A 21,545-nucleotide genomic window follows, 5' to 3' on the forward strand; every position below is an offset into this window, starting at 1 on the left:
GGTCTGTTTTTTCCTCATGAGTTTATGTGTTTTTGATAGGACTGCCACACAGATGATGTATTCTTCTCATTGCATCATATCAGGGAAAATAATGTCGATTTGTCCCATGTTGGTGATGTTAACTGTGGTTACTTGGTTAAGATAGTCTTGCCAAGTTTCTTCATTTTAAAGTTCTTATTTATTCTTATTTTACTTACAAGACTGTAGTTCTCTAGTATCCTTATTTATTTTGAAGCTCAAATTGTCCCAAACTCAGCCAGTGGGAAGCACTTTAAGCTGGCTCTGGTCTCTTATTTGTATTTTTATTTATTTTAATTATTATTACTTTTTTTGAGATGGTGTCTTACTCTGTTGCCCAGGCCGGAGTGCAGTGGCACAATCTTGGCTCATTGCAACCTCTGCCTCCCAGGTTCAAGCGATTCTTCTGCCTCAGCCTCCCGAGCAGCTGGGATTTCAGGTGCCTGCCACCCATACCCGGCTAATTTTTGTATTTTTAGTAGAGACAGGGTTTCACCATTTTGGCCAGGCTGGTCTCGAACTCCTGACCTCGTGATCCGCCCACCTCGGCCTCCCAAAGTGCTGGGATTACAGGCATGAACCACCGCGCCCGGCCTATTTTAATTTTTAATTGCAGTAAAAAAGCAAACGCATAACAAAATTTACTATCTTAACCTTTTAATTTTGGCCATGTTGCCCACGCTAGTCTTGAACTCCTGGGCTCAAGCTGTCCTCCCACCTCTGCCTCCCAAAGTGCTGGAATTACAGGGCTGAGCTACAACTCCTGGCCAGTCTTAACCTTTTTTTTTTTTTTTTTGAGATGGAGTCTTGCTTTATCACCCAGGCTGGAGTGCAATGGCGCCATCTTGGCTCACTCCAACCTCCACCTCCTGGGTTTAAGCGATTCTCCTGCTTCAGCCTCCCCAGTAGCTGGGATCACAGGCGTGCACCACCAAGCCTGTCTAATTTTTGAATTTTTATTAGAGACGGGGTTTCGTCATGTTGGCCAGGCTGACTGTGAACTCCTGACATCGGCTGATCGGCCCACCTCAGCCTCCCAAAGTGCTGGAATTTCAGGCGTGAGCCACCATGCCCGGCCAGTCTTAACCATTTTTAAGTGTACAGTTCAATAGCACCAAGAATATTCATGTTGTGCATCTGGCATCTTTTTGACAAGCCCTTGTCTTTCTTTAAACACTTTCTTACATTTGCTAAAACAAGATGTTTCAGCTAATCTTGTTCTTTCCTGTCCCAGCCCTGGAACCAGACAGTCGTCCAAGGAGTCCTCCTTGCTTTTAGTGGAAATGGTATTTGGAAACCAAATAGCTCTTTTTCTGGATCTATTTATGTATTAAACATTAGAGTTCACACTGATACCTCTAATTCCAGTCCATGACACAGAATTTATTCCAGTCATACCCCTTTCCACATTTATACCTTGCTTTTCCAACAGTGAGAAATCTGGTTCCTGTTTTCTTCAGTGTATTTGCTTTTTTGCTCAGTCTCCCCATAGGTTAACACTCCTAGCTGTGCTAGGCAAACTCAGCTGAAGACATGCTGCTGTTCCCTCCCCACAGTTTGCTGTTGGGGATGCTGTCCTAAAGCTGAACTAAGAAATATTCCCTTCCCCTTCCCCTTCCTGGATTCACTGGCCAAAAGCTTGGGTTTGATGAAAGGGAGGGGGAGGTGAGGATGAAAAAAGGGTAAAGGTCAGTTACACAGCTCAGCCCTGACCAACATGTTCCTGTGCCTTGCTGAACACATTGGCTTAAGCTGGGCCCTGGGTATCTCAGTTTTCCCCATGTCTTGCATGTTGAGGCAGAGTTGGTCCCAGACATGCCTTCTCTAATCCTATGGCATGTGTGCCAGTCCAGAGGTGGCCCAGGACGTCCTGGTTCCTTAAGCGTGGCCCTGATGAAGGGGAAGGGATAGTGAGAAGACACAGGATAAAAAGCCAGTTAGAGAGCTCATCTCTGGACATGCTTCCCGTCTTGTCCTTGACATGCATGCTGACCCACTGCTGGGCCTTGGGCATTCTGCCCTTTTCAGCTTGACAGACTGATGCTGCCCCCACCTCCCCATCCGAAAGCCATGATTTGACATTTTTAAAAGACCGAAGAAAAGAAAGAAAATTTATCTTTTCTGTTTATCCCTCCTTTTATCATTTTTAGCACTTTTATTTCCTCTGGAAAATTTCCATCTGGAATAATTTACCTTTGGCCTTGTCAACTTAAAAATTCAAGAAATGTACATATTTGGAAAGGATACTTTATTTCTTACAAAGAGTTGCAACCTGTAGGCTGGCCATCCCACAGGCTGGGAAGCGTAGCCTTTGGCAGAGCCTGAAAGGTAGGCACTTCAGAGGAGGAGGGGTTGGAACAGGAATTTGTGCTGAATGGGTTTGTGCTGACCAAGTATATACATATTCAACAGGTTATAGGAGGAGTTATGAATATTCATGGAGGGGGTCCTGATGCATGTGTACTGAACAGACATGCAATTTATTTTATTTTATTTATTTTTTTTGAGACAGTTTCACTCTTGTTGCCCAGGCTGGAGTGCAATGGCGCGATCTTGGCTCACTGCAACCTCTGCCTCCCGGGTTCAAGCGATTCTCCTGTCTCAGCCTCCTGAGTAGCTGGGATTACTGGCGCATGCCACCAGGCCTGGCTAATTTTTGTATTTTTAGTAGAGACGGGGTTTCATTATATTGGTCAGGCTGGTCTTGAACTCCTGACCTCAGGTGATCCACCCGCCTCAGCCTCCCAAAGTGCTGGATTACAGGCATGAGCCACTGTGCCTGGCCCAAACATGCATCTTTTTTTTTTGAGATGGAGTCTTGCTCTGTTGCCCAGGCTGGAGTGCAGTGGCGCGATCCTGGCTCACTGCAACCTCCGCCTCCCAGGTTCAAGCGATTCTCCTGCCTCAGCCTCCCAAGTAGCTGGGATTACAGGCGCCTACCACCACGCCTGGCTAATTTTTGTATTTTTGGTAGAGACAGGGTTTCACCATGTTGACCAGGCTGATCTCTAACTCCTGGCCTCAAGTGATCTGACTGTCTCGGCCTTCCAAAGTGCTAGGATTACAGGCGTGAGCCACCTCGCTTGGCTAATTTTTTTTGTATTTTTAGGAGCGACAGGGTTTCACCATGTTAGCCAGGATGGTCTCGATCTCCTGACCTCGTGATCCACCTGCCTCGGCCTCCCAAAGTGCTGAGATTACAGGCGTGAGCCACTGCATCTGGCCCAAACATTCATTTTTAAAAGAACTTTTAGGTTCAGGGGTACATGTGCAGGTTTGTTATATAGGTAAACATCTGTCATGGGGATTTGGTGTATAGATTATTTCATCACCCAGGTACTAAGCGTAGTATCTGACAGTTATTTTTTCCAGACAGGCATGTTCTTTGCATTCCATGTTCACTTTGAGGTGGAGACAACATTATATTCAGGCCCCATACCTCAAAAGGTGAAGCAAGGAGACAGGGCACTCAAGTGCACAGCCTCTATAAACTGGCTAGAACCAGTCTGTGGCTGGTGGTCTTCTTGTCAGGAGAGAGTTACTGAAGTCAGTCTCTTATACAGTCACAGCTATAGTTTTGGCTTGTGGAACAGGAGGTCAGTTGGCATCTGGTGGTGAGTTGCAGTTGTTTTCCTATTGCTTATCCAGGACAGTGCTTGTTTGGCTGCTAGAGAAAAAGAAGAACCCTGTGGCAGTTAGAACAGAGTTGATCTTGAAGAGTCAGACTGTGTGGCTGAATCCTTACCTGGCACGGTCGTAGGTCTTGTTTATAATTTGGTGTCTTTTTTTCCCCATGATCTTCATGAACGCATGTAATTTGGTATTTTATTGCCACAGAGTCCATTCTGTCAGTTTTGTGGTCTCTATTTTAACATTAATGCTGGTCAGTTGTGCCTGAACTACAAAAGGGAGGGAATATAATGAGGTGCGTCCCAAGGCATCTTGTCATGGCTGGAACCAAAACAGGCTTTGTTCAGTCAGTTGGAGTGCTTAGGATTTTATTTTTAGTTCTTAGCCTGAAGACCTTGCTTAGAATTTTTCATGGTGTAGGTCTGACACATTGTTTCACCTTTTATTATCTGAAAATACCTTCATTTCATCTTCATTTTTGAAGGATAGTTTTACAGCAGCAGTCCCCAACCTTTTTGACACCAGGGACCGGTTTCGTGGCAGACAGTTTTTCCATAGACCAAAGTGGGGAAAAGGTTTTGGGATGAAACTTCCATATCAGATCATCAGGCATTAGATTCTCTAAGGAGTGCGTAACCTAGATCCCTCCAACACACAGTTCAGGGTTTGTACTCTTATGAGAATCTAATGCAGCCACTGATCTCACAGGAGGCGGGGCTCAGGTGGTAATGCTTGCTGGCCCTCCACTCACCTCCTGCTGTGTGCGGCCTGGCTCCTAACAGGCCACGGACCCAGACCAGTCTGTGGCCTGGGGGCTGGGGACCTCTGTTTTACAGGATATAGAATTCTAGGTTGACTGTTTTCTTTCAGCATTTTTTATTATTTATTTATTTATTTATTTTGAGATAGAGTCTCGCTTTGTCACCCAGGCTGGAGTGCAGTGGCGTGATCTTGCTCACTGCAACCTCCACCTCCTGGGTTCAAGTGATTCTTTTGCCTTAGCCTCCTGGGTAGCTGTGATTATAGGCACATACCACCACGCCCAGCTAATTTTTTTTTGTATTTTTAGCAGAGATGGGGTTTCACCATGTTGATGGGGCTGGTCTTCAACTCCTGACCTCCAGTGATCTGCCTGCCTGAGCCTCCCAAGGCGTGAGCCACCATGCCCAGCTTCTTTTGGCATTTTAAAGATGAAGACTCATTATCTTCTGGCATCCATTTTTTCTCTTGAGAAGTTACCTGTCATTTTTGTTGTACTGAATGTCTTTTATTTGACAGTTTTAAGAATTTCTTTTTTTTTTTTTTGAGATGGAGTCTTACTCTGTCGCCAGGCTGGAGTGCAGTAGCGCAATCTCAGCTTACTGCAACCTCTGCCTCCCAGATTCAAGTGATTCTCCTGCATCAGCCTCCCAAGTAGCTGGGATTACAGGCATGCACCACCATGCCAGGCTAATTTTTGTATTTTTAATAGAAATGTGGTTTTGCCATGTTGACCAGGCTGGTCTCGAACTCCTGACCTCAGATGATCTGCCTGCCTCGGCCTCCCAAAGTGTTGGGATTATAGGCGTGAGCCACTGCGCCTGGCCTTTTTTTTTTTTTTTTTTTTTTGAGACAGGGTCTCACTCTGTTGGCCAGGCTGGAGTGCTGTGGCGTGATCTCGGCTCACTGCAACCTTGCAACCTCCGCCTCCCGGGTTCAAGTGATTCTCCTGCCTCAGCCTCCTGAGTAGCCGGGACTACAGGCATGCACCACTGTGCCCGGCTAATGAAAAAAGTTTTTTAAATATAGATGGAATCTCAGTATGTTGCTCAGGCTGGTCTTGAACTCCTGGCCTCAAGCCATCCTCCTGCTTCCGCCTCCTGGGATTACAGGAATGAGCCACCGCACCTGGCTGGGTTTTATACTTTGGTTTGGTAGATCAGTTTTGATCTTTGTCCTTACTCTTAGGGTAAATTTCTTAGTCCTGGAATGTATGTTTTACTCCTAAGATGTGGCCTTTGTGGGGTTTCAAATGGATAGTCTCAAGTGTTTAAGGTACTGATTAAGCCCCTTTAACTTGGCAGGACTTGGACTCCAAACTCTTATCTACCCTGCAGCTAGGGAGAGCTAAAATCTCAGCTTTTTTTTTGAGACGGATCTTGCTCTGTTACCCAGGTTAGAGTGCAATGGTGTGATCATAGTTTACTGTGACCTTAAACTTCTGGGCTCAAGCAATTCTCCTACCTTAGCCTCCCAAGTAGGTAGGACTACAGGCATGCACTATCTGGCTAATTTTTATTTTTGTAGAAATGGGGTCTCACTATGTTGCCCAGGCTGGTTTCAAACTCCTGAACTCAAGTGATCTTCCTGCCTTGGCCGCCCAAAGTGCTGGGATTATAGGCATGAGCTCCCGCACCCAGCCATCAGCTTGCTCCTTCAACCTTCAAGCTATCGTGTCCTTTCTGGGCTTGTGGGAGTCTCACCTCCGCTTACGCAGTTCAGGGTTCAGCCAAAGATTTGAGGGGACCTTATACTCAGACTTTGGGTTCCTTTTTTAGTGGGTTCCTCCTTTCCTATATTTCCCTCTCAATTTCCAGCTTCTTTAGCAGTCTCAAATCCTCCTTTAACCTGTCAGGCCAATAAAATTGCAGCTTTTTTTTCTCTGCTCCACTCCTCTGAGACTGGGGCATACTCTCAGGAGTAAAGCAATATAAAAGTGGATCTTGCCCAGTGATGTTCCCTTCTTTCAAGGGTCATATAAATTCCAAGCTTCTTTTTTATTTCTTGTTTGTCTCCAGTGTCTTTAGAAGATTGTTTTTCACATTTTATCTAGAGTTCATAATCTCGGTCTGTGAGAAAGTTATTTTGATACAGTCTACTTCTCTCTTAAGGGAATAAGAACTTCTTTGGGTTTATTTTTTCTTGACAGTGTGTTTTGGAGCTCTTTCATTATAGATATATAGTTTCTTTATTCTTCTTTAGGGTGGAATGGCATTTTTATCTGTGGGCTACTGTATTTAAACAGCAGCCCTCCTATGGACTTTTAGGTTGTCATTTTGCTTAAAAAATAATGAAGCAATTAATTTTCTAACCTGTCATGTATGTAATGCATCTGTAGGATTAATTCCCGAAAATGCACTTGCTGGGAAACATAAGTGCATTTGTAATTTTAGTAGATGTTAACAAATTGTTTTGTATGGTAGAACCAAGGTTTATTCTTTTTTTCTTTACCCACCTCTCAAGAGAACAGTTTTTATTAGGTGAAAGTGGTATTTGCTAAAAATTTTGAGTATTTTCCAAAATGAACTTGTTAAGTTTTCTTACTAAAAAATACATTTGTATCTCAGAAGAAAGTAGCAAAATATATTATATGAAAAAAATCACACCCACTAGAAACAACTGTTATTAGTCTTTCACGTTGCTTTCCTGTTTGTGTATGCTTTTCTGTGTTAGCAGTAATAATACAGTCTTATTACCTTGGTATTTATTTCAAACACTTGCTTAGTGCCCACTGTGTAAAGAGCTTTCTGGGGAGCTGTCACTGCCTGCCTGAATCTCCCTCACTGTCTGAGGGTGGTCTTAGTGCTCATGAGGTCGAGAATATCGAGTGCTGTGTCAGAAGGGCAGAGGTCAGGTGGATTTAAAGCTGTTGCACCAAAGCCAGGTGTGGCGACATGCCTGTAGTCCCAGCCTACTCATGAGGCTGAGGTGGGAGGATGGCTTGAGCCTAGGAGTTAGAGAATGCAGTGAGCCATGATTGTGCCACTGCACTGCAGCCTGGGTAATAGAGCAAGACCCTGTCTCTAAAAAATAAAAAAAATAATAAATAGGCTGGCACGGTGGCTCACGCCTGTAATCTCAGCACTTTGGGAGGCCGAGGCGGGCGGATCACCTGAGGTCAGGAGTTCAAGACCAGCCTGGCCAACATGGTAAAACCCCCGACTCTACTAAAAATACAAAAATTAGCCAGGCATGGTGACACATGCCTGTAATCCCAGCTACTCGGGAGGCTGAGACAGGGAGAATTGCTTGAACCCGGAAGGTAGAGTTGCAGTGAGCTGAGATCGCGCCACTGCACTCCAATCTGGGCGACAGAGCGAGGCTCTTTCTCAAAAAAAAAAAATAAAATAAAATAAATAATAAATAAATAAAACTATGCATCAAGCACCATCTCCCTGTCCCCTGGGTATGCCTTTGGAAGTGCAGTTTGCAGAGTGAGTGAGATGAGGCAGGGGAGTAGGAGGAGGAGCTGAGGAGGAGAATGGGGCAGGGGAAGATGAGACAGGGAGGAGGAGGAGGGGAGGAGAGGGGAAGGGATGAGAGAGGGAAGGAAGGTGGAGTCATTGTTCCTGCTGTTGCCTTGCGTGGCTGTGACAGCTGTTGAAGCTGTCTTCTCACAGTTTTGCACACTGTGGGTTATGATTCATTAGTGGCATGTGAAATCAACCATGTAGGTAGCAACCTTTTTTTCATGTAAGAATTTAAAGGATACAAGTATAAAGTTAAAGAACTTAAGGAAAAATTTTGCTAGATTCATTTTGAATTAGAGCTGTCACGTATTTCTTAGCTATCTGCATGGAAAACACCTAGAAGCAATGACAGTCCAATAGCAGTGGAGCACACCTAGGACTTTATTGTAGTCTGAATTGTATGTCAAGTAGTGTGGTTACAGTAAGTGAGGGGATGTAGCTTTTTGCCACAAAATCTGTACTTTGGAAGGTGAATGTGAAGCAATGAGAACAAATGGAGATTATTAATCTGTGCTGTGGTTGGCGTTCAGAATTAGGCCACATTTTAGTATGTTTCATGTGGGGATCATTATTTTTTTTTGGACCAGCTTTTTTTTTTTTTTTTTTTTTTTTTTTTTGAGATGGAGTCTTGCTCTGTTGCCCAGGCTAGAGTGGAGTGCAGTGGTGCGATCTCGGTTCACTGCAAACTCCGCCTCCCGGGTTCACGCCATTCTCCTGTCTCAGCCTCCCGAGTAGCTGGGACTACAGGCGCCCACCACCGTGCCCGGCTAATTTTTTGTATTTTTAGTAGAGACGGGGTTTCACCGTGTTAGCCAGGATGGTCTCCATCTCCTGACCTCGTCATCCGCCCGCCTCGGCCTCCCAAAGTGCTGGGATTACAGGCATGAGCCACCGTGCCTGGCCTTTTCTTTAGAGTTTCTGATGAATTGCTTTTCTTTTTTCTTTCAAAAGAAACATTAAATTTTAAAAAATTTCAGTAGCTTTTGGGGTACAAGTGGTTTTTGGTTACATGGGTGAATTGTATAGTGATGAAGTCTGGCTTTTATTTTATTTTTTGAGACGGAGTCTCATTCTGTTGGCCAGGCTGGAGTGCAGTGGTGCGATCTCGGCTCACTGCAACCTCTGCCTCCCGACCTCAAGCGATTCTCCTACCTCAGCCTCTCGAGTAGCTGGGATTACAGGTGCCCACCACCACGCCTGGCTAATTTTTATATTTTTAGTAGAGACGGGGTTTCACCATGTTGACCAGGTTGGTCTCGAACTCCTGAGCTCAAGTGATCCACCAGCCTCGGCCTCCCAAAGTGCTGGGATTACAGGCATGAGCCACCTCACCCTGCAAGTCTGGGCTTTTAGTGTACCCATCACCCAAAAAGCGTACATTGTATCCAGTAGGTAATTTTTCATCTCTCACCTCCCTCCCACTTTCTCCCTTTCTAAGTCTCCAGTGTCCATTATATCACTCTGTGTGCCTTTGTGTAGCCATAGTTTAGCTCCCACTTATAAGTGAGAGAACCATGCCCGGCCCAGACTTCTTTTTTTAAATGTTCTAATAAAACTTTATTTACGGCTGGGTGCAGTGGCTCACACCTGTAATCCCAGCACTTTGGGAGGCTGAGGAGGGTGGATCACCTGAGGTCAGGAGTTCGAGACCAGCCTGGCCAACATGGCGAAGCCCCATCTCTACTAAAAATACAAAAATTAGCCGGGTGTGGTGTTGCGCGTCTGTAATCCCAGTTACTTGGAAGCCTGAGGCGGGAGAATCGCTTGAACTTGGGAGGTGGAGGTTGCAGTGAGCTGAGATCGTGCCACTGGACTCCAGCCTGGATGACAGAGTGAGACTCCGTCTCAAAAAACAAAACTAACAAAAACAACAACAAAACACAAGAAAACCCCACTTTATTTACAAAAACAGGTGGCTTGCCTGTGTGGTAGAGTTTACTCAGCCTTTTTCTAGAGAATGCCTTGTTATTGTGAATGAGATTCAGTTTTATTATGGTAGGCAGTGAGATTACTGGGAAATCTTTTTTTTTTTTTTTTTGTCGTGTGCATCTTTGTTTAGTCATTATTTTGATAGCTCTGTATCAGTTTTTTTTTTTTTTTTTTTTTTTTTTTTTTTTTTTTTTATGAGACAGAGTTTTGCTCTTGTTGCCCAGGCTGGAGTGCAATGGCACAATCTTGGCTCACTGCAACCTCTGCCTCCCAGGTTCAAGTGATCCTCCTGCCTCAGTCTCCGTAGTAGCTGGGGTTACAGACATGTGCCACCACGCCCTGCTAATTTTGTATTTTTAGTAGAGTTGGGGGTTTCTCCATGCTGGTCAGGCTGGTCTCGAATTCCCGACATCAGGTGATCCTCCTGCCTTGGCCTCCCAAAGTGCTGGGATTACAGGCATGAGCCACCGCACCCGGCCTCTGTATCAGTTTTGAATTTAGTTCTGGGTGTTTTCCTTACACCTAAAGTGTGGACTTTTTGGATTTCTACTGAGTAGCCAGTTCAGCAAAGTCTCTTCAGCTGATTATAATGTTCAGGAAAGACTCTTCAGCTGATAATAACTTCTGGCATCACCATTCAGCAGTCAGTCAAACATTAAATGATTACCTGTAGGCATTGTGGAGTTTCATCTCTGCATGTCCAGGCCAGCCCTTAGTCAAGGCCCAAGAAACATGTTTTTATCGTCAAGAACTTCTAGGCTCTTAGTTTACATAATGGAATCTTACAGATTTTCCTTTGTTTGCTTGCTGAACACTGTCATTGTCACCCTGGGATTTCTTTTCTCTGCTTCCTGGGTTGGTTCCACTGTTTCTTGGAGTCCACATCTTTTTCTCTCTTGGATGATCCTCGTTTTGCTGGGAGTAGATCCTCTAGTATGTTTTTCAAAAGGGGGTTTTTAGAGTGTAAAGATCCCAAGGCACTGCAGGTGTGAAAATAACTATTTTGCACCTTGATTGACAGTTTGGTTTTAAATTAACTTCCAGATTTAAATTAATTTCCACACAGAATTTTAAAGGGATTACCATATTCCCATTTATCAGGATACATCTGATGCTGATCTGAGTCTTACTGCTTTTACAGGTACTTTTTTTTGCATTTTCTTATTGGAAACCTAAGATTCTCTTGAAATTCTGCAGTTTTGTGAAGATGAGTCTAAATGTTGAGGGTTTGTCTCTTACATTCAGCCTACTTGTTACTGTGCTTTTTCTGTCCATAAAATTGAGTTCATCGTTGTTGTCTTCTGATATTTGTGTCCCTCTTTGATTCTGCCTGCTCTTATTCTCCTCTTAGGAAACTGTTAGACTCGATGGACCCAGCTTCTGTGGCCTTTAATTTTTCTCATGTTAAACTTTTTACCTTTTCACTTTATGTTCTAAGACAGGGTTGGCAAACTTCATGTAAAGGACCAGACAGTAAATATTTCAGGCTGTGTGGGCCAGGGGGCAAAATTGAGGCCATTAAGTAGGTACTTATATAAGAGAGAAAGCAAATTTTCGTAAATTTTTTTATTGATGAAATTCAAGGTATAATAATTGAGTACAATTTTTTGTAATATGGTTCTACTACTGAGAATGGAATTCTTTTTGGGGGCTAACATTTTGCTTAATCAGGGTTCAAAGTTGGTGATTCCCTTTATCGAATTGGTGGCAAATGTTCATCTGTAAAACATTTGCAGCTGTGGCCATCAGCAGCAGGCAGGCATTGGCCAACCCCGCAGTTCTCCTTCACATCATTCTTTGGGCTCTCCGCTATGTCCTTGTTATTATTCTACGAATTTTTTATTTTGGCAGTCATATTTGTAATTTCTAAGATATATTTCTTGTTCTCTGTTCTCTCTTTTTCTTTTTTTTTTTTTTTTGAGATGGAGTTTCACTCTTGTTGCCCAGGCTGGAGTGCAATGGCGTGATCTCACCTCACCGCAACCTCCGCCTCCTGGGTTCAAGTGATTCTCGTGCTTCAGCCTCCCGAATAGCTGGGATTAACAGGCATGCGCCATCACGCCCAGCTAATTTTGTGTTTTTGGTAGAGACGGGGTTTCTCCATATTGGTCAGTCTGGTCTCAAACTTCTAACCTCAGGTGATCTGCCCACCTCAGCCTTCCAAAACGCTGGGATTACAGGCGGGAGCCACTGCACCCGGCCGTTTTCTCTTTTTCATAGCTATCTAGTCTTATTTTATGGATGCAGTTCTTCTCAAGTGTCTCTAAGTATACTAGCTAGAATGTAGGTTCCTGTGCCTGTCTCTTCCCATTTGTTCTTTGGCTTTTCTCTCTCATGCTGACCGTGGGGATCACTGTGTTTGTGAGGGAAGGTTGGGGTTGACTAGTGTTCAGAGCATGTGGGTTTTCTTTTTAGTCATGTCTATTTCCCTGGAATCCTTCCCCTCCCTGCAGTAGCCAAAATAGAGGTGAGGCTGCTCAGCTGAGTGGCACCTCTTTCTGTATCTCCCTCCTGGTTTGCCTTTTTCCCTTTGAGCCTACCTGAAGGTCAGGGTCAGCTGGTTCTGCCCTGTATAGGCAACTTTTAGGAAGGAGCAATCTGAAATTGTGACTCTACTCTGGTTTTTAAAGACAGAAAGTGACAGTCCAGTTAATACCGGATATTGACTCAAATCTAGTTCTGATGCTGCTTTTCCAACTTTATGACAGTTTCTACATCTGTGGTATATGGAATAATAATTGAAGCACTAAATTTTATTCTGAAGCAATCAGTCTTTTTGGAATCAGGAAATATTAAACTTTATTTGTTACAGGTTAATGAAATAGAATTGTATGAAAGTACCATTTTTATAGCCAAAACACTGTTGAAAATCAGCACTTTGATTTGGTTCAACCTAATATTTAAAAAATTATATTGTAATTGTTATGTTTATTTATTGATCTGTGAATATAGTCACTCTAACCAGATTTTTTTTTTTTTTTTTTTTTTTGAGATGGAGTCTCACTCTGTTACCCAGGCTGGAGTGCAATGGTGCTATCTTTTCTTACTGGAACCTCTGCCTCCCAGGTTCAAGCGATTCTCCTGCCTCAGCCTCCCAAGTAGCTGGGATAACAGGTGCCCATCACCACGCCCGGCTAATTTTTCTACTTTCAGTAGAGACGGGGTTTCACCGTGTTGGCCAGGCTGGTGTCGAACTTCTTACCTCAGGTGATCCACCTGCCTCAGCCTTCTAAAGTGCTGGGATTACAGACATGAGCCACCGCACCCAGCCAACCAGAATATTTAATTAAGTAGCCCTCCCTATTTGCAAGCCATTCTGGAATTATCAGAGTTCTAAGAGCCTTCACCAGCAACAGATCCAACTTCTGCTTTTCTAGATTAGGAAATTTGCCTTGAAGAAGTGAGCTTGGCCAGAGGCACGCTGTTTAATTTCAAAGTGCTGCTGACTCAAACTCATGAGTCCTGGAGGCAGGTAGAGGCACTTGTAGGCTGAGGACCCGTAGAGCCCGGTGTGCCCTGCCCAAGCCCCACCTGGGAATGGAGTTATCTCTGTAAAGATCTTGCTGCCTTTGAGCAAGCACTGCAAATGGGGTAACTGGAACAGCCTTGTCGCGTGTTTCCACCCTTCGTATGAGGCAGGTACCATGGGTCTTCACCAACAGCACGGCCTGTTGTCTCCAGGAAATGGTAGCCCCTCACAGTGCTTTCTGTCTGCTTGTTTAGCTTTGGCATTTGAATGTGCAGAATGGTGGACTTTGAAATTAATGTCCTTCTGTTGACTGCAGAATTTCTGCTGGAAATGCAGGGAGGCTGCTTGTGGGGTTCGCGTGCTGTGGGAAGTAGGGAAAATGAGCTGGTTTACTTTGTGTCTTTTTGTGCATGCAGACTGTTTGGATTTTGCCAACAGTTTCTGGGTGCTGCCTGCTTTTTAAACTTTTAAAAAATTGTAAACAGCTTCAGTGGCTTTGCAGAAGGAAGCTGTGGTTTCTGGTCTTCCTGTTCAGTCATGTTTTTTTCAGAGGGAGGGCTAACATCTGGCCATATTTTTCAACAAATTCAGAAGTGAGTAGAGAATGCATAGTAGCTGTCGGCAGAGGAGGAACCAGAATCTCTCCAAAGAAATTCCTCAAACAGAATTTCACACAGGGTATTCCATGGAGAATGAGGTAGGTGCAAGTCCAGTGTGGAAAGCGCCATTTAGAATGATGATGGTGTGAGTCCCTTGTGGGTGGCTTTCATGGCTGCTTCCCAGGGCTTGCCCATTGTGAGCTAGGGTAGCCCAGTCTCCATGACCCCTGCTTTGGGAGGATGGGGTGGGTGGAGGGTTCATTTGCTGGCTTCCTGGTCTGAGACCCTGTGGCAAGGGGCGTGTATGGAGAAGTGCCGTTCCACCCAGGTGGGGAGTATAGGTTGTTGGATTCATCCATCTTGACTCAAGGAAGAAGAAGCCACAGGTTTTACATCTTCCACGGAGAAGTAATTTTCCTATGGATTTGTGGTCGGGACCCAAGAGCCTGGTTGAAAAATGATGTAGGGAGATGGCCAAGCAAGAGAGCACCCAAAGCTGGAATTTCATCCACGAAGCCTGCAACACTAGTGGGGTTCTGCTTGAGACTCCACCAGCATGGATCCTGGCCACCGCCAGTGTGGCCTCCTGTGGGCACTAAGGTGCCTATGCCTTTCTCACTGAAGCAAACAGGCGGTAGTGGGCAGAGCTCTGGTTCCCCTTGAAATTCGCTCTGTCAGCCGGGTACAGTGGCTTATGCCTGTAATCCTAGCACTTTGGGAGGTGGAGGTGGGTGGATCAGGAGGTCAGGAGATCAAGACCATTCTGACTAACATGGTGAAACCCCGTCTATACTAAAAATACAAAAAAATTGCCGGGTGTGGCGGCACGCACCTGTAATCCCAGCTATTTGGGAGGCTGAGGCAGGAGAATCACTTGAACCCGGGAGGTGGAGGTTGCAGTCAGCCGAGATTGCGCCACTGCACTCCAGCCTGGGTGACAGAGTGAAACTCCGGCTCAAAAAAAAAGAAAAGAAAGAAATTAGCCGTGTCCTGAGATGCGGGTGCACACCGGCTGTGTCATACTTATCATTTAGACCTCTCCAGCACCGAGGAAAGGTCCTTTTTCCATTGGTAGGCACCAAAGCACTTAAAAAAAAAAAAAGCTAATCTGTCAACTGACACTGCAGGGAGTGCTGGAAGTTTGTGGAAATTCACATAGGCAGGGGTGCAATGTGGGTGTCCACAGAGGAGTTCTTTGTCATGGAGCTTGTAGGAGGGGATTTGTCGTAGTGCCTCGGATGTGCACCTTAGGCAGTGTGATTTATGAGGATGGCAGGTGTCTCTCTGGGACTATAGCCTATCACTGTCCAGCTGGACAGAATCATCGCTCCAGGTTCCACTGTCTTCTCAGACCCAGGCACTGAGTTTGGTGCCTCTTCCAGTCATTTTCCCTCATTCCTGCTGGGCCCTCATGTGGCTGTGCAGTTGCGGTTTGTCTGTCTCCCTCTTTAGACTGGGGGTTCCCTGGGGGCAGGGACGGTGGCTTCTACAGCCCCAGTGTCTGGCGCATAGTGAATACTCATGAGATGTACTGAATGTTGGCCTTAAGGATACCTAGGCCTTTTTATAATACTTTAAACATCTTTGTTCAGAGGCGGTTTTGTTTTATTAGATAAAACCCACCTTGTAGTTTATTCATAAGGGTTAAATAATTTGCGCAAATGAAAATGCCTGAACCCTGTAGCAGAGACATGCTGGGTACTGCTCAGTGTGACTAAGTGTTCTTCTCTTTCTTCCTTCATAGACTTTTTAGCACTTTCTCCAGAGTAATACTGAGCTCAATGTTTTGCATGGAGAATGCAGCTAGAAGGTATAGCCATACTATTTACTTTGGTCCCCAAGTAGAGGCCACTGTTTCATGAGTCTGCTTTTGCTGGTTCTTTTAGTGGATTCATTTCTCCTTGTAAATTAATAAACAGGTGCCCTGACTTATAAGTTAGTTTCTGAGAATTTGTTGAGCAGATCCAGTTACTCCAGATCCTGTTCACCCAAGTGAGCTGATAATGTTGAGCTTCAGATTTAACAAAACTCAAGACCCGCAGTTGGCATCTGAGGGCCAGCCTTGCCCAGAGCCTGAGCCTTGGCTTTGTGTGAGGAGGGCATTCTCACTAGGTAAGCCCTAGTAGGCCAGATTTAGTTTTAGTTTTTTAACTCAGAAGTACATTTTAGGTTTCCAACTTTAAGAGTTGTTTTAAGCTTAAGACGTTAACTTTGTAAGAATTTGTAAGGATCTAGGCATCTTCCAGAGTGAGTTTAGAAAGTTCTGTATAGTTATCTGAGGTGGCATATATTCCATATGGATGTCTTTGCACAGCGCTGCATGGTGACTCAGAGCCCTGTGTTCCCTCCTCCTGGCTCCGTACTGTGGACTCTGGCAGGTCCCTTCGACCCTCACAGCCTCAGTTTCTTCAGGAGAGACTTAGGCTGGGATAGACTCCACACCTCACTTTGGTGCTGGGACTCCACTCATGGAAGAGAAATAGCACTTAGCCTGGTTTCCTTCTGGGGACTGAATTGGTCCTTTGGTCTCTGAGGTTCAAAGGTGACAAGATCATTTAGTGGTGATGAACAGGCATACTCAATCAAATACATGTTGAATGAAGAATGGTTGCCTGGGCTAATCCCACCTTTTAAATTCTATGTGTCCATCTATAGTACATTCTAGTGAGTTAAAGAACCCATGATGGTTTACTGGAATCCTGATTCTGTACATTAAAAATATGCTAAACCATTTAATTATTTCCCTCGTTCCTTCCAGACAGGGTCTCACTCTGTTTCCTAGGCTGGGTGCAGTGGTGTGATCACAACTCACTGCAGCCTCAACCTCCCAAGCTCAAGTGATCCTCCCACCTCAGCCTCCTGAGTGCCTGGAACTACAGGCTAATTTTTAATATTTTTTAGAGACAGGTCTCGCTATGTTGTCCAGGCTGGTCTTGAACTCCTGGCCTCAAGCGATCCTCTTGCTTTGGCCTCCCAAAGTGTTGGAATTACAGGTGTGAGCCACTGTGCCTGCCCTCAATTTATTTTATTTATTTTTTTCTTGAGACGGAGTCTCACTCTGTCACCCAGGCTGGAGTGCAGTGGCGTGATCTTGGCTTACTGCAACTGCTACCTCCCAGGTTCAAGCAATTCTCCTGCCTCAGCCTCCCGAGTAGCTGGGACTACAGGTGTGCACCACCATGCCCGGCTAATTTTTGTATTTTTAGTAGAGACGGGGTTTCACCATGTTGGCCAGGGTGGTCTTGAACATCTGACCTCAGGTGATCCACCTGCCTTAGCCTCCCAAAGTGGTGTGATTACAGGCGTGAGTCATTGCACCTGGCCTCGATTTATTTTTTAACTAGAACTTTCCTTTAAATTTATTTTCTTTCTTTTTTTAGATTTAAAGAGAACAGGGCCTTGCCCAGGTGCAGTGGCTTACACCTGTAATCCCAGCACTTTGGGAGGCCGAGGTGGGTAGATCACTTGAGGTCAGGAGTTTGAGACCAGCCTGGCCAACATGGTGAAACCCCATCTCTATAAAAATACAAAAATTAGCCAGGTGTGGTGGTGCACACCTGTAATCCCAGATACTCGGGAGGCTGAGGCAGGAGAATCGCTTGAGCCCGGGAGGTGGAGGTTGCAGTGAGCCGAGATCACACCACTGTACTCCAGCCTGGGCTGTATAGTGAGACTCCAGGTCAAAAAAAAAAAAAAAAAAAAGAGGGCCTTGCTTAGTCACTTAGGCTGGAGTGCAGCGGGCAGTCATAGCCCACTGCAGCTTTGAGCTCCTGGGTTCAAGTGATTCTCTCCCCCCAGTCTTTCAGGTAGCTAGGACTACAGACGTATGCCACCACGCTCAGCTTTTTTCTTTTTAATTAATAATTATTATTTGTTTTGAGATGGTCTTGCTCTGTCACCCAGGCTGGAGTGCAGTGGTGTGATCACAGCTCACTGCAGCCTTGACTTCCTAGGCTCAAGTGATCCTCCCACTTCAGCCTCCCAAGTAGCTGTGACTACAGGTGTGTGCCACCATGTCCTGCTAATTTTTATGTTCTAATTTTTGTATTTTTTTTAAAAGATGAGGTCTCACCCTGTTGCCCAGGCTGGTCTTGAAGTCCTGACTCTAGTGATCCTCCCATCTTGGCCTCCCAAAGTGTTGGGATTACAGGTGTGAGCCACTGCGCCCAGCCATCAGCTTAAATTTTGTGTTCAAAAGCAACTTCTTTTCCAAAAATCTGAGGTGGCTTCTTGTTCAGTTTTGTATCTGGAATAGCAGAGAGCTCTTCCCCAGCACCGGCTGTCCCTCCTACCACCCCCTGCAGCTGAGAGCTGAGCAAACATTACCTCTGAAAAGCCCCATCATCCTCAGCGAGAACAGCAGCTACCCTGCATTCCGTGCTGAATGGGTAGGAGTGGCAGAGGGAGGCTGCAGCAGATGTGCAAAGATGCATTTCTTTACTTAATAGTGTTAATATTCCACTTTCTAGGAAGGCTTACCCATCAATTAAAATTATTTGAGACATTAAAAAAAGAAACTTAGGGTAGCTGCTATTGAAGACTAAGGACTAGGGCCAGAGAGACGCCTGCCTCCAAGTAGTCCACAGAATCTGCTTGTTAAAATGTTCGTGATTTGGAGGCCCAGGTAGAAGGGGCAGGTTCCTCTGAAGCGCCTTGGCATGCCCTATCTTTGGCGTTCCGGGGTCGCCCTCCTCTGCTAGTCTGTGAGCAGTCAGAAGGTTGTATCTCCTGTTCATTCCTCTCCTTGTCTCTTGCTGCTCAGAACAGCAGCTTTAAGAACAGGGTGGCTGAGCCCTAAGTGTACCTTTGGAGCATCCTGTGTGTCTTCAGCATTGATTGACTGTTTTTACTGTGGATTTAATTTCAGTTACTTTACTCTGGTCTTACTACTTCGGCTTGACTGTGACATCGTTGAGGGCAGGGGCTGTGTCACCTCTAACCAAAGGGCCTCCCCAGATGCCTAGCCTGGTCCAAGCGTTCCATCAAGAGTCAGTACCAGCGTTTATTGCTGTCCAGTCTGTGCAAGCTCCATGCTGGCTGCTGGGTAAGAGCCAAGGGCAGCCAGGCCTAATGGCTCATGCCTGTAATTCCAGCACTTTGGGAGGCTGAGGCTGGTGGATCACCTGAGGCTGGGAGTTTGAGACCAGCCTGGCCAACATGTTGAAACCCCATCTCTACTAAAAATACTAAAATTAGCCAGGCATGGTGGTGGGTGCCTGTAATCCCAGCTACTCCAGAGGCTGAGGCAGGAGAATTGCTTGAACCGGGGAGGCAGAAGTTAAGTGAACCAAGATTATGCCATTGCACTCCATCCAGCCTTGGTGACAAGAGCAAAACTCCGTCTCAAAAAAAAAAAAAAAAAAAAAAAAAAAGAGCAAAGGCCAGAGGAGGAAAGAGCTGAGCTCGATGTAGGGAAGAATTGATGTGATGCTTGGGCAATAAGAGGCATCTACAGATGGCCGTCCTGGTTTCCTTGCCCTGCAAGAGTTCCTACTATTTCTCACTGCCTAACTGCAGAGGGTCTCTCTTTAGGGGTGGGATTGTAGGACGGGGGAGCGCCAGAGTCCTTCCCAGTGCAGACTGTAATTCTGTGTGGAGACTATAATTTTATGACCTGTACATCAACATTAAAATAACAGTGTAGGTTGCATGTGGTTTGTGGGACCTGTTGATTTGGTGTGGGCTTCTTGGTTAGAGGTTGATCTTGGCAAATCTCCTGTCTCAGAGTTGGTTTCCTGTTGCTCCCATAGGTAGATTAGTAACTAGTTTGGCTAACAGGCAGCTTTCAGAAGAGCCAACAAATGGAGCCAGGCTGCTTGCCCACACTGTCAGATTCAGAGCTCAGTCACTGTCCATGACACAGCTAGTTATCATTTAGGAGGAATGAGCTTTGGGGGCTAGCAGGCAGAAATGGTTTAGGGACAGCCATTTTCCTGTGGCTGATGTGAGATTATCCATGTCTGTGGAGATGCAAGCTTCCGAAAAGCTGGGCTCATGGGCCAAATGCCTCTGTATTTCCATAACCTCCAGGCCAGGGTCTTGCACATCATAGGGCCTGGGAGAATAAGTGAGTGGTCAAGCATACACATTTGAAAAGTAATTCATGTGCCATCTGTCACTTGAGAGTGCCAGAAGAGAGGAAATCACAGGCAAGCAAAGCCTGGTGTGTTTTTAGTGAGGCTAGAGAAACATGATTTTTTGCATGGCTAAAATTGCATCACTAAATTTTGAGGGCCGTTTTTAACTTACAGTTTACCATGATTTCTTGGCTGACAAATCATAGGTGACCATTTCTCACCATTCTCCCATGAGAACCCCGCACTGCAAACTACCTGTCATGTCCAAACTTGTCCTGGGGCTCAAAGCTTGTCAGGGATTAAGGAGAATGAAGCCCGAAAGTGCCTTAGGGACATCCTGTCTTCACTGCTGTCATAGAGCCAGGGCCTGGGCAGCACAAGGCCACATGCTTTCTGAGCCCAGGCCAGTCCCAGCAAGCTCTTATGGAAGCACTTTTTTTTTTTTTTGTTTTGAGACGGAGTCTCTCTCTTGTTGCCCAGGCTGGAGTGCAATGGTGTGATCTCAGCTCACTGCAACCTCTGCCTCCCGGATTCAAGCGATTCTCCTTTCTCAGCCTCCTGAGTAGCTGGGATTACAGGCATCTGCCACTACACCCAGCTAATTTTTGGTATTTTAAGTAGTGACGGGGTTTCACCATCTTGGCCAGGCTGGTCTCAAACTCTTGACCTCAAGTGATTTGCCAGTCTTGGCCTCCCAAAGTGCTGGGATTATAAGCATGTGCCACCATGCCTGGCCTTTTTTTTTTTTTTTTTTTTTTTGAGATGGAGTTTCACTCTTGTTGGCCAGGCTGGGGTGCAATAGCACAATCTCGGCTCACTGCAACCTCCGCTTCCCCGGTTCAAGCAATTCTCCTGCCTCAGCCTCCCAAGTAGCTGGGATTACAGGCGCCCGCCACCACACCCAGCTAATTTTTGTTATTTTTAGTAGAGACGGAGTTTCACCATCTTGGCCAGGCTGGTCTCTTAACTCCTGACCTCAAGTGATCTGCCTGCCTCACCCTCCCAAAGTGCTGGGATTACAGGTGTGAGCCACTGCACCCAGCTTCTGGAAGCATTTTTAAAAAGTTTTTATTTTTCTTGAGACAAGGTCTCACTCTGTTGCCCAGGCTGGAGTGCAATGGCATGATCACAGCTTACCGCAGCCTTGACCTACCGGGCTCAAGCAACCTCCTGCCTCAGCCTCCCAAGTAGCTGGTACTACATGCGTGAACCACCACACCTGGCTAATTTTTGTAGTTTTTGTAGAGATGGGGTCCCACCAGGTTGCCGGGCTGGTCTTGAATCCCTGAGCTCAACAATCTACCCACCTCGGCCTCCCAAAAGTGTTGGGATTATAGGCGTGAGCCGCTGCACCCAGCCTGGGAGCACTTTCTGTCCCCTCTGTGGTTCGTCTTAGAGCGGATCATCTTGTAAGGATGTTGGTGATCTTAATTTTTTATGCTTTTATATTTTGCCTCAGTTTAAGTGTAATCAGCAGGAAGCAGAAAATATATTCATCATTTTCAAAAAATATTTAAAAATTCAAATATTAAAAAAATACAGAGAAAAGTTAACAAAGCTACTGTATACATCATCTGGCTCCAACTGTTACCAA

General features: G+C 45.5%; 1 protein-coding gene across 15 annotated transcripts in view, besides 3 other annotated features; it reads left to right on the top strand.

Moving 5' to 3' along the window:
• Positions 1 to 21,545, top strand: part of CCM2 (CCM2 scaffold protein) — a 76,725-nt gene that overhangs the window by 14,080 nt on the left and 41,100 nt on the right. For 8 of the 15 annotated variants that reach the window (XM_011515561.3, NM_001029835.2, XM_006715786.4 and 5 more), the window contains exon 1: positions 13,809 to 13,972. The exons of the other annotated variants lie outside the window; for them this stretch is intronic. In XM_011515561.3, the coding sequence (XP_011513863.1) occupies positions 13,880 to 13,972 (93 nt within the window). In that variant the 5' untranslated portion in view covers positions 13,809 to 13,879. Of the gene's footprint in view, positions 1 to 13,808; positions 13,973 to 21,545 lie in introns of those variants that run through there. 15 annotated transcript variants of the gene reach the window in all.
• Positions 13,272 to 13,341: a silencer, noted in NCBI's record as "silent region_18163". NCBI's record gives its function as "represses an Ori minimal core promoter by ATAC-STARR-seq in GM12878 lymphoblastoid cells {active_cell/tissue: GM12878}" and the evidence as "EXISTENCE:reporter gene assay evidence [ECO:0000049][PMID:35858748]".
• Positions 13,732 to 13,781: an enhancer, noted in NCBI's record as "active region_25967". NCBI's record gives its function as "activates an Ori minimal core promoter by ATAC-STARR-seq in GM12878 lymphoblastoid cells {active_cell/tissue: GM12878}" and the evidence as "EXISTENCE:reporter gene assay evidence [ECO:0000049][PMID:35858748]".
• Positions 14,384 to 14,453: an enhancer, noted in NCBI's record as "active region_25968". NCBI's record gives its function as "activates an Ori minimal core promoter by ATAC-STARR-seq in GM12878 lymphoblastoid cells {active_cell/tissue: GM12878}" and the evidence as "EXISTENCE:reporter gene assay evidence [ECO:0000049][PMID:35858748]".

Source organism: Homo sapiens, chromosome 7 (assembly GCF_000001405.40).
Source record: "Homo sapiens chromosome 7, GRCh38.p14 Primary Assembly".
In the NCBI taxonomy this organism is placed as follows: domain Eukaryota; kingdom Metazoa; phylum Chordata; class Mammalia; order Primates; family Hominidae; genus Homo; species Homo sapiens.